Source organism: Homo sapiens, chromosome 2 (genome assembly GCF_000001405.40).
Source record: "Homo sapiens chromosome 2, GRCh38.p14 Primary Assembly".
NCBI classification, from domain to species: Eukaryota; Metazoa; Chordata; class Mammalia; order Primates; family Hominidae; genus Homo; species Homo sapiens.
Genome location: NC_000002.12, coordinates 1,782,028 through 1,796,547, shown reverse-complemented (window position 1 = coordinate 1,796,547; position 14,520 = coordinate 1,782,028). Strand labels below are relative to the sequence as shown.

General features: G+C 47.3%; 1 protein-coding gene across 28 annotated transcripts in view; it reads left to right on the top strand.

The window, feature by feature from the left end:
• MYT1L (myelin transcription factor 1 like) overlaps window positions 1-7,435 on the top strand; it is a 542,163-nt gene extending 534,728 nt beyond the window's left edge. For 20 of the 28 annotated variants that reach the window (NM_015025.4, NM_001303052.2, XM_011510326.2 and 17 more), the window contains 2 exons: window positions 4,084-4,227; window positions 4,541-7,435. In NM_015025.4, coding sequence (NP_055840.2) covers window positions 4,084-4,227; window positions 4,541-4,681 — 285 coding nt within the window. In that variant the 3' untranslated portion in view covers window positions 4,682-7,435. Of the gene's footprint in view, window positions 1-4,083 lie in introns of all 28 variants that reach the window. The other 8 variants (NM_001329849.3, XM_017003616.2, XM_017003615.2 and 5 more) reach the window with 2 other exon arrangements.

Below are 14,520 nucleotides of genomic sequence, written 5' to 3'. Positions count from 1 at the left end.
CCCAGATGGACCAGAGTGAACAGCCCTGTGCAGCTTGACTTCTAAGATTGGCAGGTCAGTTAATCCCACAGCCTGCACCACTTTCAGAAGATGGCTGTTCTCCCTGGGGCTAAGCCTCTCTGTGATCCAGCCTCCCTGGTCAGCACGGGCATGGGCAGGAGGCAGTCCTCCCTGCACGAGGACACTTTCCTTGGGGTTACACCCTTCCACCACCCCACTGCTAACGCCTTGGGATTCCCACCCATTTTACACTTCTTCCGGAAATGTTTTCTAAACACATCACGCCATCAAGGTACTTAGTCTAGACCAGGGATTGGCAAACATTTTCTATAAAGGACCAGATGGCAAATATTTTAGGCTTCTGGACCACGCAGCTGTGTTGCAGTGTGACAGCCTCAAAACACGTGTGAGTGTGACCCTGTTTCAACACAGCGTCACGTGGTGCTGCAGTCGGAATTTAATAGCTCTTATATGTTACAAAATGCTGTTATTCTTTTGTTTTTGTTTTTTTTCTTACCACTAAAAAATGCAAACGCCATTCTTAGCTTAGTCTTAGCTTTCAATGTCAGGCCCCAGGCTAGATTTGACCTTTCTCTACTCCAGGTGTGGTCAGAGACTGCGCAATCTAAGAAACGCTGAGGTCTGGAAAGACAGAGGGTGTGGACAAGTCTGTAAAAATGCGGGTTTGGGCCTAGACTGGCCATCAGGCTGCTGCTGATGCAGGAACTTTCTTGGGAAGATCCGGGAATGCACTGCTTCCTAGCAGCCTGAAAAACCTTTGATGTTTCTTAAACAATCAAAAACAGAACCCACCTTCGTCAGAGGGCTCCCTGCTTTACCACAGGCAACTCGATGTTTCTGGAAATGCAGACTCAGGTCCGCCAGCGCACATCATTGATGACGGCCGAGGTGGCCGGCCCAGCTCCCAGCCAGGCCCCCACACCCACTCGCGACACAGGCCCCTCCCTGCGTAAGCACCTGTGATCAGGGATGCCTTCTGAGTGCCAGGAACCATGTACTGTGGCTGCTGTGGGTTGGGTTTGGAAGGGAGACACCGGCCTCTGTGCCCCTCCCCAGCCTGCTCAGCCCCATCCTCGGAGGAGGCCTGGCGTATGAGGGCCTGGGCGGAGCCCCTACATCACCTTTCTCAGCAGTGCTGTCTCCCATGACCGCCGCAGCGTGCTGGCCAGCTCCAAGACGTTCTGAGAGGGCTCCCCTTTACTCTGGGCCCCTAAGGCTGGGTCAGAGGCCCCAGGAATAACAAATGTCTTCTCACTGCAAACATGCCTCACATCTCAGTGTGAGTTGATGTTGTGGGCAAGGAGCATTACTCCCATTTTCCAGAAAAAGAGCCCACAGTTTGTCTGGCTAGGATAGTAAGGAACGGGCAGCAGTGACCCTGAGACACTCAGCTTCTTGCCACCCTGGAGGAAGGCTCAGGGAAGCAAACGTGTGTCCACGTGCAAGAAGCCCGGGGCCCTTCGTGTGTGGGCTGGAGATGCAGGAGATTCAGGGGCCACGGGGGATGCACTTGAGGGAGGTGAGGCTGCAAGACCTGGCAGATACCCGTCGGTTCTGGTTTTGGGTCTCCAGACATTCTCTCTGACCCTGGACGGGGCTCACCAAGCAGCCTGGTTCAGGAGATTATCATTTTGGCCAGGGCTTTGATGGGATGTTTGTTCAAACTGCATATTTTGTTCCACAGCTAAGCAGATTTAACACAATGAGATTTGTTCCATTTTGAGAAAAGCAAAGCATTTATAAGCATGGGAGCCCCGCCACCCCCATCCCAGCCACAGACCCGGGTAGCACGGGAAGGAACAGCCTAACTCCTGAGTCTCACAGAGATTCCTGAACATAGGAAGATATCTCTGCCTCTGCAGAAGGGGCTAGACTTTCCAGCAGAGAACATAAGTTGAAGGAGGAATGGATCTAAAATGTGTCCCCAAGAATTTTGCTGGGGACAATGAGACAGGGTGCCGCCCCTGCCTTGGTCACCCCACAGGCTGCTTCTCCGCTAAGCCGGGGGAGCAGTTGGACTTCCGTTTACTCTGGGCCCCTAAGACCAGATCACAGGCCCCAGGAATAACAAATGTCTTCTCACTGCAGACACACTGCACAGCTCAGTGTGAGTTCATAATGCAAGGAGCATTATTCCCATTTTCCAGAAAAAGAGCCCACACTTTGCCTGGCTAGGATAGTGGAATAGCCAGAAGCACCTCTGAGATGCTCAACCAGAGGCGAGCTGGGCTGGGCTCATCCAGGAGGGCCCGCTGAGGGCCAGCGATGGCGAGGCCTCTGCAGGGTTCCCTGAGCACAGACAGGAGGGGCCGAGGGGCCTGTAGCAGCCACCGTCTAGGAAAGCCACCAGATGCAAAGGGCAGGAGCCGCCCTCTGCTCAGGGAAACTGCAGAGGTGCCCATCCTGCTGCTGGCCTTCCCCCTGCGTGTACCTTTTTAAAAACCTCGGGACCTGGGCCATGACGCCTCATTCTAGATTAGATTCCGTCATAGAAAACCTACGTCTGCTTACACTGACATCATCTCTAGTAAGGTCCCAGCCACAGCTGCCACCAGCTGTGAGTGCAGGCACGTGGCCACCCAGGAAGGGCTACAGAACGCTCTGGAAGACAAGCACCGGGCACGCAGCCCTTCGAGGCCCACCCAGGAGTCGTGGGAGGGCAGGCATCCACTCCTGAGCCTGCAAGGGGGCGGCTGGGAGGGGAACATTAATTTGATAAATAACCCCAAAGAACACGAATGAGAAGGTCACCCAGGACGTGCATGGAAATAAATCTGTGTGATTTCAGTGTGTTCTCCACAGGGGACCGTCCCTGCAGGAATGGTGGGGGCTGCGATTCCTTCCAAGGAGAAGGCCGGCCCTCCCCACTTCATCCTGGAGGGCGCCTCTGAGGTGCTTCAGTTTTCTAACAGAGGGTCTGGGCCTGAGGCTGGTGACTGGGAGAACCCGGGATTTGACCCAGTACAGCCAAGGGAGGGCCAGAACATAGGAGAAGGCAGGGCCGACAGGGAGAGGAGGAGAGACTCTCGTGAGAGGACTTAGGAATGACACGTCAGGGAAGGAGAGGAGCGGGCAGGCCAGGCAAGCCAGCCCTGGACTCTGCGGGTCGGCCCGGTCTTCCAGGAAGAAGCCCCAGATCATGCACGGCAGAGGCACCCTTGGGTGCCCAAGGCAGACACCCCCATGGGCAGGGCAGCTCCCCGCCTGCTGCGTGTGAAGCTAGTCCTGTGCGGTTATAGGCAGAGGCCCTGAACTCAAGCCCCTTGACCTTGGTGATACTTAAATTATCTCTGGAATATGCGAGGAAGGGTCCGTGGTGGGCCTTTTTCCTTAGAGAAATGCAGGAAGACCACCCTGTGGGCACAGTGCCAGCCTGGTGCCATCTGAAGACACAGTGACACCTCCACACAGAAATGAGCATTGGAGGACTTAGCTGTGGCAGAATTTTATTCAGGCTAGAAAGGAGAAGTATTCGCATCAAGCCCCCTACACACTGCAGTCCCATCAGGCCGGCTGAGAGAACAGGATCGCGCAGGGAAACAGTCTCAGCTCCCCAGTTGTCAAGTGCAATGAATCCAAAGCATAGGCAGCAGGTCCTTCAATGACAAGCTATCACCACGGAAGCCTTTTTCTTTTCCTTTTTTTTTTTTTTTTTGTGAGACGGAATCTCGGTCTGTCACCCAGGCTGGAGTGCAATGGTGTGATCTCAGCTCACTGCAACCTCCGCCTCTCGGGTTCAAGCTATTCTCATGTCTCAGTCTCCCGAGTAGCTGGGATTACAGGCGCACGCCACCACGCCCAGCTAATTTTTGTATTTTTAGTAGAGACAGGGTTTAACCACGTTGGCCAGGCTGGTCTTGAATTCCTGACCTCAAGTGACCTGCCTGTCTTGGCCTCCCAAAATGCTGGGATTCCAGGCGTGAGCCACGGCGCCCGGCCCGAAGCCTTTCTCCTTCAGCGAGAGGCCCCTTCTTCGCACCCAGTAGACTGTGGCCCCCGGCAACGACCACGCGCTCCTAGGTCCTCCTGGTGTTACATGTCACGCACACTTGTGCGTTTCAGATTACCACGATGGAGAGCAACCTGAAGACCATCGAAGAGGAGAACAAAGTGATTGAGCAGCAGAACGAGTCTCTCCTCCACGAGCTGGCGAACCTGAGCCAGTCTCTGATCCACAGCCTGGCTAACATCCAGCTGCCGCACATGGTAAGTGACTGAGCACGCAAGGCAGGAATGTGGAGTCCTCCACAGCGCACAGCCTAAAGTAGATGCCGTTTTTATCGTTATTTTCATGGTTCTTCAGCCTTTGGCAAATGTTTGTGGTTACCACCCCGAAACCATACCATTAACTGCTAGAAACATGGGCGGGGCTGACCCCAGAAACTTAAGTGTGCTCTGAGCCGGCCTTTGAAATAGTATAAAACCAGGGGCACTATGCTATGATACTATTTTATGCTTTTGTAAATATACTATTAAGAAAATAAAAGTTGTATATGAACTACTATTTAATATCTCGTAGGATCCAATCAATGAACAAAATTTTGATGCTTACGTGACTACTTTGACGGAAATGTATACAAATCAAGATCGTTATCAGAGTCCAGAAAATAAAGCCCTACTGGAAAATATAAAGCAGGCTGTGAGAGGAATTCAGGTCTGAACAGCTGCTGTAGTGATGAAACTCTTGCTTAAAAAGGATGCCTCTTGTTTTTTGCTGCTGTAACTTACCAGAAAGTGTTCTATATTTATTTCTGTTTGAATTTGAAACAGTGTTATGCTTACAAGACTTCATAATGATTTTATGTCTTGCTTTAAAGATAGTACCTGCAGAATAGTTTTTGAATACACCCACATTTTGTACGTTTCCATGTAAGCTGACATAGTGTTCTGCCATGTAATGTTTATAGCTGCTGATGTATGCACATTTGGGGGTATATCTATTTCTGAAGAGGTAAGCTGATCAAAATAAATAGAGTGTAAATTCTTTTTAATGCTTTAGTGATTAAATGTTTTAGTATTTTGAACTGAAATGGACACACAAACACACACACGCACACACAGACCCACAGCTTTGAATGATCATGTTGTGGCTGAGCAGCCGCTTTTTAGACGTTATCATTTTGCCTCATGTTGGAGGACTTTATGGAATTTAAGAAATACATTTTGTGTGCATATTGTTTCATAGCAAGAATTCGTTGCAAAAATGCTTTATTTTTGAACAATGCTTGGAAATATTATGTGACTTTTTTGTTTGTTTGTTTTAGGAGGATGGTGTATGGTGGGGGCAATAAATGAGGTTTTTTGCATTCCAAGGAAATGGCATATGGATTAACTGTAAGAAATGAAATAAGTAATTTATTGTAAGACAACATCAAGCCATGGAAACTTGGCAGAAGATTCAAAGCAGCTTAAACAGCACTTTTAAATTAACTCCTAAGCGTTACATGGTTGTGACTATGGAAACTCCAGTTAAGACAGGATCTTATCAGAGGTGGACAACGTGAAGATTTCCTTTTCCATTTTCAATAAACTTTGGAACAACCTTCTCGTATCTCCCCTAGAGTTTCGTGCCCCTCTGAACTGTCTGTTATTGCAATGTAGTTTATCAACAGAATTTGTGTGTTTTCGATTTAAGCTAAAAGATAATTTAAGAACATTTATTTCCCCTTTTCACTTTAAAAAATTATGATTATTCCTATTATTGTTATGAACCTTCTTATTTTACATTTGAGGGATAAAGGCAAATGATTTGTGAGTCTTCTAGTTACTGGACCGAGTTTTCTGCTGGATCTGGTGGGAAGGCAGCTCGGTAAAGTTTCCCTCCTGCTCCCCCCGCCCGACTTTGACTCTGAATCAGCATTTGGTCCTATTCAGAGGACTCTTACCACGACGTTTCTGTTCTACACTTGGGTGGAGACCAGTTGACCATAGAGCATTTGCAGAGCCTCATTGTTTGATTTCTTGTGACTATTCTAAGAATGAATGCAATCAGATTTTAAAAGTAACTAAATATACTTCAGCACTTTTTTGCTTTAAACTAGATCATCTTAGACTTGTTTATACCTTCCAGATTTGATTGTTTTACTCCCAATGACTGCACTATATGTATGCATAAGACCACTTTTGAGCGCTGTGTTCCCCCTTCTGAGTAGTCCTTTGACGACGTGTTGTGTTTTCTGATGTTGACTTGAGTTCCATTTAGTAGCATCTCTTCCTTCCATGTCTTGATGTTATGCAGGAAGTACAGACGTACTTTAAATTTTTGTTATGAAATAAAAAAAAGATGGGTTTTGTAAAAATAAAAAAAAAATATTTTTAGCAGAACAGGACTTACAGGGTCATTGTCCCCACAATGTGCCAGTCGACTATTTGCACTTACCTTGTCCTATATATCCGTACGGAGGTGTGCAATTCCTCGTGTCAGTAGCCTTGTGACACTGAACCTGGATGGATTATAGAGGAGCCCTCACGGCTGATCAATAATGTTGCAAAGGGAGACTACAGGGATCTCACGACGAATATTCTGATACAATACTCAACCTCGGTATATATATATGTGTATAAATATATGTATATCCCAGCGGCACTTTATACTGTTCACTGTACAAAAGCTTACAGTTTTCCACAAGGACTTTAATAACTAGCTGGGAAAAGACGATGTAATTATTTCGGGGCTCTGCGGAACCTTCTCTGTACAGCGCCCCCTTTCTGTTGTGCTATTGGTTGCAGCTGCCATGCTCAGAATGCGTTTTGAGAGCTGAAGCAAGGTGCTTGCAGTCACCTGAGGCCGTCCGTGTGGCCCAGGGCCCCAGCTGCCTTTAGGGCCCCCATTGTTCATAACAGCATATGCATTTCCCCACCGCGTTGTGTCTGCAGCTTCTTTGCCAATATAGTAATGCTTTTAGTAGAGTACTAGATAGTATCAGTTTTGGATTCTTATTGTTATCACCTATGTACAATGGAAAGGGATTTTAAGCACAAACCTGCTGCTCATCTAACGTTGGTACATAATCTCAAATCAAAAGTTATCTGTGACTATTATATAGGGATCACAAAAGTGTCACATATTAGAATGCTGACCTTTCATATGGATTATTGTGAGTCATCAGAGTTTATTATAACTTATTGTTCATATTCATTTCTAAGTTAATTTAAGTAATCATTTATTAAGACAGAATTTTGTATAAACTATTTATTGTGCTCTCTGTGGAACTGAAGTTTGATTTATTTTTGTACTACACGGCATGGGTTTGTTGACACTTTAATTTTGCTATAAATGTGTGGAATCACAAGTTGCTGTGATACTTCATTTTTAAATTGTGAACTTTGTACAAATTTTGTCATGCTGGATGTTAACACATCTTACTCTAAATAAACAAGGTGTTGCCACATTTGTAGCACGAAGGATCTCTAACCCGGGTCTGCGTCTTCACTTGAGTCTGGGAAATGCTGTCTGGGGTCCCGTGGGATCCACTCGAACCCTTTCACTCCAACTTAGTTGCTTTTAACATTTTTACCAGTTTGATTCTCAACTCCGAGGCATATAGAAGTCAATGACTTTTAGAAAACTATGTGAGTGTCTCGGCATCCCCACTGGGCCGTCCTTTTCCCATTTGCTGTCGCTCCTGCCCCTCGCTGGGCTAGGCCATCTGAGAGCGAGCCTGGACGGAGGACACGGTGCCTCCCAGCACAGGGCTCCCCTGGGCAGGGAATTCTCCACCAGCAGCCCTGCAGCCACCACACTTGGGGGCATTGCCGTTGTGCATGCGTCAGCATCTCAGCGCGCCCAGGCAGGGCGGTCACGTCCTTTGTAGAGCCTTTCTTCTGGAATCCAGTCGAGGAGGCGCGCTGCTCCCAGCTGGTCCATCCCTGTCCCTGTCCCTGTCCCTGTCACCTCCTTATTACTGAGCAGACTCTCAGCCTGCCTGTCTCCCAGAGGAGGTGCACTGCTCCCAGCTGCTCCGTCCCTGTCCCTGTTCCTGTCCCTGTCACCTCTTATTACTGAGCAGTTTCTCGGCCTGCCTGTCTCCCAGAACACAGACAGTTTTCAACTGCCCAGGGCCATTGTTTTACAAAATGTCCCAAACTGGCTGCCACCTCCTGACTGATTCGGGTTAACTGGGAGACGTGTCCTTCTCCAGTTTCACGTCAGGGGAGCAGAAGGACAGGCAGCCCATCGTTGGTTACCTGGGTGTTGAAAGATGATGCCTTCTTACTTCCATGCTGTTGGCAAGGATCCCGGCAGCAAGTCACCCATAAACTTAAATTGCCCTTCAAATATAATTTAACAATGAATTACCCACTTTCACATCAACTATATTAGTTAATGTCATGGTTTAAAATTCCAAAAATACCCTCCTCTCATAGACACAATCACCCAAAATATAAAATTTGAGAAAGGGACTCTGATAATCTTAGTTAAATTTCATAATTTATTCCCAGTGGTGCCTTCAGCTGCTTCACGATTCAAGGTCCTCTGAGCACTTCTTATAAGCTAGTGTGTTCGGATGGCTCATTTGCAACAGCACTGCTTCCTGGAAGCACTGGTGATTGCAGTGAGTCCCCCTCCAGTCCTTGGTAGAGTCCTCAGAGCTGACAGAAGAGAGAGGCGACTCTCACTCCTACCACCCTGCATCTCTGTCTCTCTAGACCCGCAGGGTGGAAGAAGCTCTGTCAAAGGCTGTCTTTAGGAACAAGCCGAGTTAATGATGTGCTGGCTCAGGCCTGTCTGTTAGGATTATTAAAAGCTATTTGTCCATAGGAACAGTTTGCCTGAGAATTGATGTAAATATTTTAGAAAGCAATTTCACAATATTTTCAAAAATCTTAGAAAATTTATATTTTGCCTCAATCTCAGTCTATACTAGAAATACCAAAACAATTACAAATGTACCAAAATCAATAAAAACAACCCTAAAGTCCTATTACAGAGGAATGATTAAGCAATTCATGATCCATGAATTTTATGGAGTACTAGAGAGCTCTTAAAATAATGGCTATAAAAACCTTGTAATAAGGGGATTATGATAAAGTAGATGAAGAGTACAGAAAAAAATTACAAATGCATGAAGGGGCATTTGTTATCAACAAAAAGAGTTGGACTCTGTAAAATATTTGAAGAGATTTATTCTGAGCCAAATATGAGTGGCCATGGTCCACGACACAGCCCTCAGGAGGTGCTGAGAACATGTGCCCAAGGTGGTCAGGGCACAGATTGATTTTATACATTTTAGGGAGGCATGAGACATCAATCAAATACATTTAAGAAATACTTTGGTTTGGTCCAGAAAGGTGGGACAACTCAAAGTGGGGGCTTCCAGGCTATCGGTGAATTTAAACATTTTCTGGTTGACAATTGGTTGAGTTTGTCTAAAGACCTGGGATTGATAGAAAGGGAATGTTCAGGTTAAGATAAAGACTGTGGAAACCAAAGTTCTTGTGAAGTCTTATAGTGGCTCCCCTTAGAGACAATAGATGACTAATGTTTCCTATCAGATTTTATTTTTTTTATTTATTTATTTTTTTGAGACGGAGTCTCACATTATTGCCCAGGCTGGAGTGCAATGGCACAATCTCGGCTCACTGCAGCCTCCGCCTTCTGGGTTCACGCAATTATCCTGCCTCAGCCTCCCAAGTAGCTGGGATTACAGGTGCACACCATCACATCGGCTAATTTTTTGTATTTTTAGTAGAGACGGGCTTTCACCACGTTGGCCAGACTGATCGTGAACTCCTGACCTTGTGATCCTCCCACCTCAGCCTCCCAAAGTGCTGAGATTGGCACGTGAGCCACCTCGCCCGGCCTTCCTATTCGGATCTTAGTTAATCTCTTCAGGATTGAGAAGGCCTGGAAGAAAAAGATCCAGTTATGTTAACAGAGATTCTTTACAGATGCAAAATTTCCCCCTACAAAGAACAGCTTTGCAGGGCCATTTCAAAATATGGCAAAGATACATGTTTTGGGGTAAAATATTTTGATTTTCTTCCTTGTCTTGTAATGTTATGCCAGAGTCAGGTTGGAAAAGTAAGTCATGATATACAGGTTAAATAAAACCCATCTGATGAGAATTTATAGTTTGCAGGGCGTGACTCCCCAGACCCCTTCAATAGGAATTTGGGCAAGATAAAAAAAATCAGAGTTTAGTCCTCAGCCTTAGCAAAATAAACTTCTGAATTGGTTGAGACCTGTCTCAGATACTTACTGGTTTACACAACACAGCTGGGTAATGAGGCAGAGCTCAGGGTCTTAAGGGAGAAGCAATTTAAGTACATGAAGATAATCAGGCTTTCATCCTTTGTATTTCACTTACTATGACACACACAAGTTATCAGTCACTGTTCAGACACTGGGTCAAGTGGGAAACGACACAAAGAAAACATCCCATCCTAATAAATGTAGTTGGCATAGACCTCCTTGTATAATAATAAAACAGGCACATGGCAGCCCCTGAGCACCCTCATTTTCAGTATCAAATAGAGTGGCCTAAGGGGAAGCCTCACTGTTGGTCCTAATGAGGCCTCCCCTGTGTGAGGCCAAATGTGGGGCATGCTGGACTTTCCTCTGGATGGAGTCACCTCTGGTCTCTGACCCCATCCTTGCATCCTAGTTTCTTCTCATCCTCTTCTTGCTTTTTAATTAAATGAGTTTTTTCTTTCTAGAGCATTGTTTGTGTCCCTTCAGTTTCTTCGAATCTTCGTTGAGCAAGGTAAGATAAGGAAATAAAGAAGGATCAGTATTACCCACAAACACAGGGATGTGTGTGCAGATGGCCAGATAAAGGTGGGAAATTAATCAGAGAAGGAAAGAAGAGGGAGGGGCCGGTGATGGAATCAGGAAATTGAGAATTCCATCTTAGGGCCCGAAAGAGAGATAATCGAAGGTAAATCATGGCTTCAATACTTAGGGCCCAACAACTGTCCCCGCCTTCCACCACAGCTTTGTTTTCTGGCCGAATGCGGTGGGTGCCCGGCCTTCCTTAGGATCCGTCCCTCCCCTCGGAGGCCAGCAGCCTTGCCCAGCAACAGCAGAGAACCATGCTCTTTCCACAGGCCGCCAACAAAACATGTGAAGCATCTGATAAAAACCATGAGCGATCATAGCGTTTCCCTTTTCTAAGGAACAAATTGTTTCCTTCTCATGTGTGAGATACAAACAGCAGGCATTCAACTCATTTGCCCTCTTTGATATGTGGGGAACAAAACCACCCAAGACCGTCTGGGGAGAGAGCCAGAGACATGCCATCGTTAAACATCTCGTATGGGTCAGCCCCAAGCGAGGTGTCTTACACAGTTATCCCCACAGAAGGGGCCTCCTGACACCTGAACAGCATCCGCCCCAGGACCCAGCTTTGTCAGGTATGTCTGACGGCGGAGGCCTTTCCCCACGACCCAGCTTTGTCAGGCATGTCTGACAGCAGAGGTGTTCCTGAGAAGTGTCTCACCGCAATGAGACGGGTCATGGAGAAGCCCAATCCTCTCCTCATCTTTTCCCAAAGAGAGAATCTCTGCCCCTCTACCCAGGAGGGGACCCTGTTGGAGTGAACAGGATTCTGTCTCCCTCCTATACTAGGAGTGACCTCTTTAAAGAGAGATGTGGCCTAAGAGTATTAGAATCCAAATAAGATGTCACCTATCCAGAAAAGAAGGTTTAAAAAGAATACGGCGTTGTCATGTCCCAAGATCTTCAGAACTTAGGAGCTAGTTTAAAGTTATTTACATAGAATTTAGTGCAGAGGTTAATCGGGGGATATAGAAGTCTAGATGGAGGTTACTGACTTTACAAAGAAACTGAAAAATTGAGGTTGTGACACTACCTTAAAATGAGATCATAATTCAGGCACCATGTGTCTCCCCCCAGACGGTTTACAAAACCTCATCAAGCTGGGAAGGCCACCCTCAAAATTACTCGGGAGCCTCAAATTGTTTCCTTAGTAGGGTGTAAATAAGCAAAGACTGCCCAAATGACAACAGACAGAGGCTGCTTATCCCGAGCTCCTCAGAGTTAGGAAGCCGACCACCATCACCTGCATTTTCGCAGAGACTCCGGCAGGCTGGGCGTGGGAGCTTCCCGGGGAAGGGAAGGCACCCGGTGAGCCCCGATGGAGGCTGCTGGCCTGGGAGCTGGGGCGGCAAATGGAATCGGGGCGTCCCGTGTGAGTGTCGGGGGAGCACGTTTGTCTTTCTCCGTCTGTCCTCAATGGGACGTCAGGGCAGAAGTCGGGGCAGCTGTGAGTTGTTAAGCTCTGACCAGCTGGGGCTGATTGTTACGGCACTGTTGCTCAGCTTTCTGGATCGTCACTAGGGACAGCGATCAGGACTCCTGCACGTCTGATTTGCAGATAGCAGGCGGGCATCCTGGGCTGCTCCTTGCCGGTAAGGGCTTGGTTTCCTGTGCTGGTTGTGGGTCTGATGTCTGCTTTTACATGTGGTCGGTCCATTGTCCGCTTGTATTTTCATCTCTCAGTCGTAGGCATCTTTCAACGTTGCAAAAATTAGAATGAAGAAATAAAGCATTTTCTGTGTTAGAATTAGGCATATTTAGCATTTTAAGAATTGAAATATTTAAGAGAATCTGATCAATTAAAGTGATGCCTCAGCCGTGAGACTAAAATTTCAATTGTGTATTTTTGTTATTGGTGTAATTGTGATCCCTCCACGCGTGCACCCAGGCTCATTAAAAAAAACACAGCCCCGCTGCTTATCAGCTTTACTGTCAAAAAAAAAATACAAGGATGCAACAGACAGTGGAGCTTTTAGGGGAATGTGAGCACGTCGCACTTGTAAAATCTGTGTGGAAGCTTTAATGATGTTCAGTTCACCACTTCGTGGACGGGACCGAAGGTTAATCAAAGGAACCCTAAATCTCGATTGCTCACACCTGTCGTATTTAAATAAAAGAACACTTTTGTAAGTTGAGCTTTTAAAAGCTTAAGGAAAGTCTGGGTACTATGGCTCATGTCTATAATCCCAGCACTGTGGGAGGCCGAGGCGGGAGATCACCTGAGGTCAGGAGTTCGAGACCAGCCTGGCCAACATGGTGAAACCCCATCTCTACTAAAAATACAAAAATTAGCTGGCTGTGGTGGCTCACGCCTGTAATCTCAGCTACTCAGGAGGCTGAGGCTAGAGAATTGCTTGAGCTAGGGAGGCAGAGGTTGCAGTGAGCCGAGATCATGCCACTGCACTCCTGCCTGGCTGACAGAGGGAGGCTCTGTCTCCAAAAAAAAAAAAAAAATTTTTTTTGAGCAAGGCCTCAAAGAAAGCGAAGCGTGGATTATCTTATTCTCACCTCCTCGGTGCTGGGAAAGACCTGCCTTGACCGAAGTCCGCTCAGACTCCTTAGGCTTTACCTAAGCATTGTCCTCGCCCAGCTGTGGCAAAAATATTATGTTGGTTTAGAGAGAACCCCCACCCTCCACACCTGACCCCCTCCGTAGCTAACTGGGTTCCTCATCTCTCCCCATCCCCAGGTGACACCCGATCCTCCTGCGGCCTTCAGCAAGAGTCCTGTGTGCTGTGAGACCTTTCCTCACTCATCATAAGGTTGCGACCTGGCTGACGCTCCTAGAATGAAACGCAGGTTAACAAGAGAAAAACACAACGCATTTCTTTAATCCAAGTTTTATGTAGCCCCTGAGGCTTCCAAAGGAAGACCCAAAGACCAAGGGGAAACTGAGATTCTGCTCAGACCCCATGAAGATGGGCGGCCATGCAGAAACACGATGGGACAAAGGGAGAGATCGCCCAGCAGGGGCCCCAGCAAGGCCGCTCCGTCCATGTTCCTCTCAGCCTCTCTGGGTAGCACGCTGTGGGGGCTCGGGAATCGATACCCCAAAATGTGGGGCTTTGACGTGTTGAACTGAAGAAACAGCCTCTCCAGGTCTCTCTGATCACCCTCCTCATGTCCCATCTGAATCCCCTGCGTCCCAAAGCACAGGGTGAAGCTGCTCTCTGAGTCTGAACCCACCAAAGAAGGAAACGGTCACCCCTGTCTCTTCCCTGAGTTTTTCTCAGCTGGATTCCTGTCACAGAAAGAAAGACCAAAGTCTCAATCCACCTGGACAGACATGTGTCATAAGCCATTGTCTGCTCTGTGGGCCCAACAGACATTGCCTCAGATCACTGTATATTCTCCAAGCCCATTGAATTTCCTAAAGGGCATTTACTACCCGCTAAACTCATCCACACGCCCCATCTCCCTTTCCCCTAAAAGGGCGGGTGTATCAGCGTCTGTCCCATCACATGGTGAGGCGGCCACTTCCTCACCCCGTGCATGTTCCTATCTGCGTGCCTTTACTCTTATTAATCGTCCTTTCACCAGTAGACTTTTAGCAAACCTTCAGAGGGTAAAAAGGGGGTTTTCCCTTGGCCCCTACAGTTTCTTCCTTCTGTCTACGGGACAGGACCCTTCTGGAATGAGTGTCTTGAAGGGAGAAGGGAGAGAGTGACCTTTCCAGGCTTTTTGGCTTGCTTTTGGGGAGGGGGCCTCTAGTTTCTAGG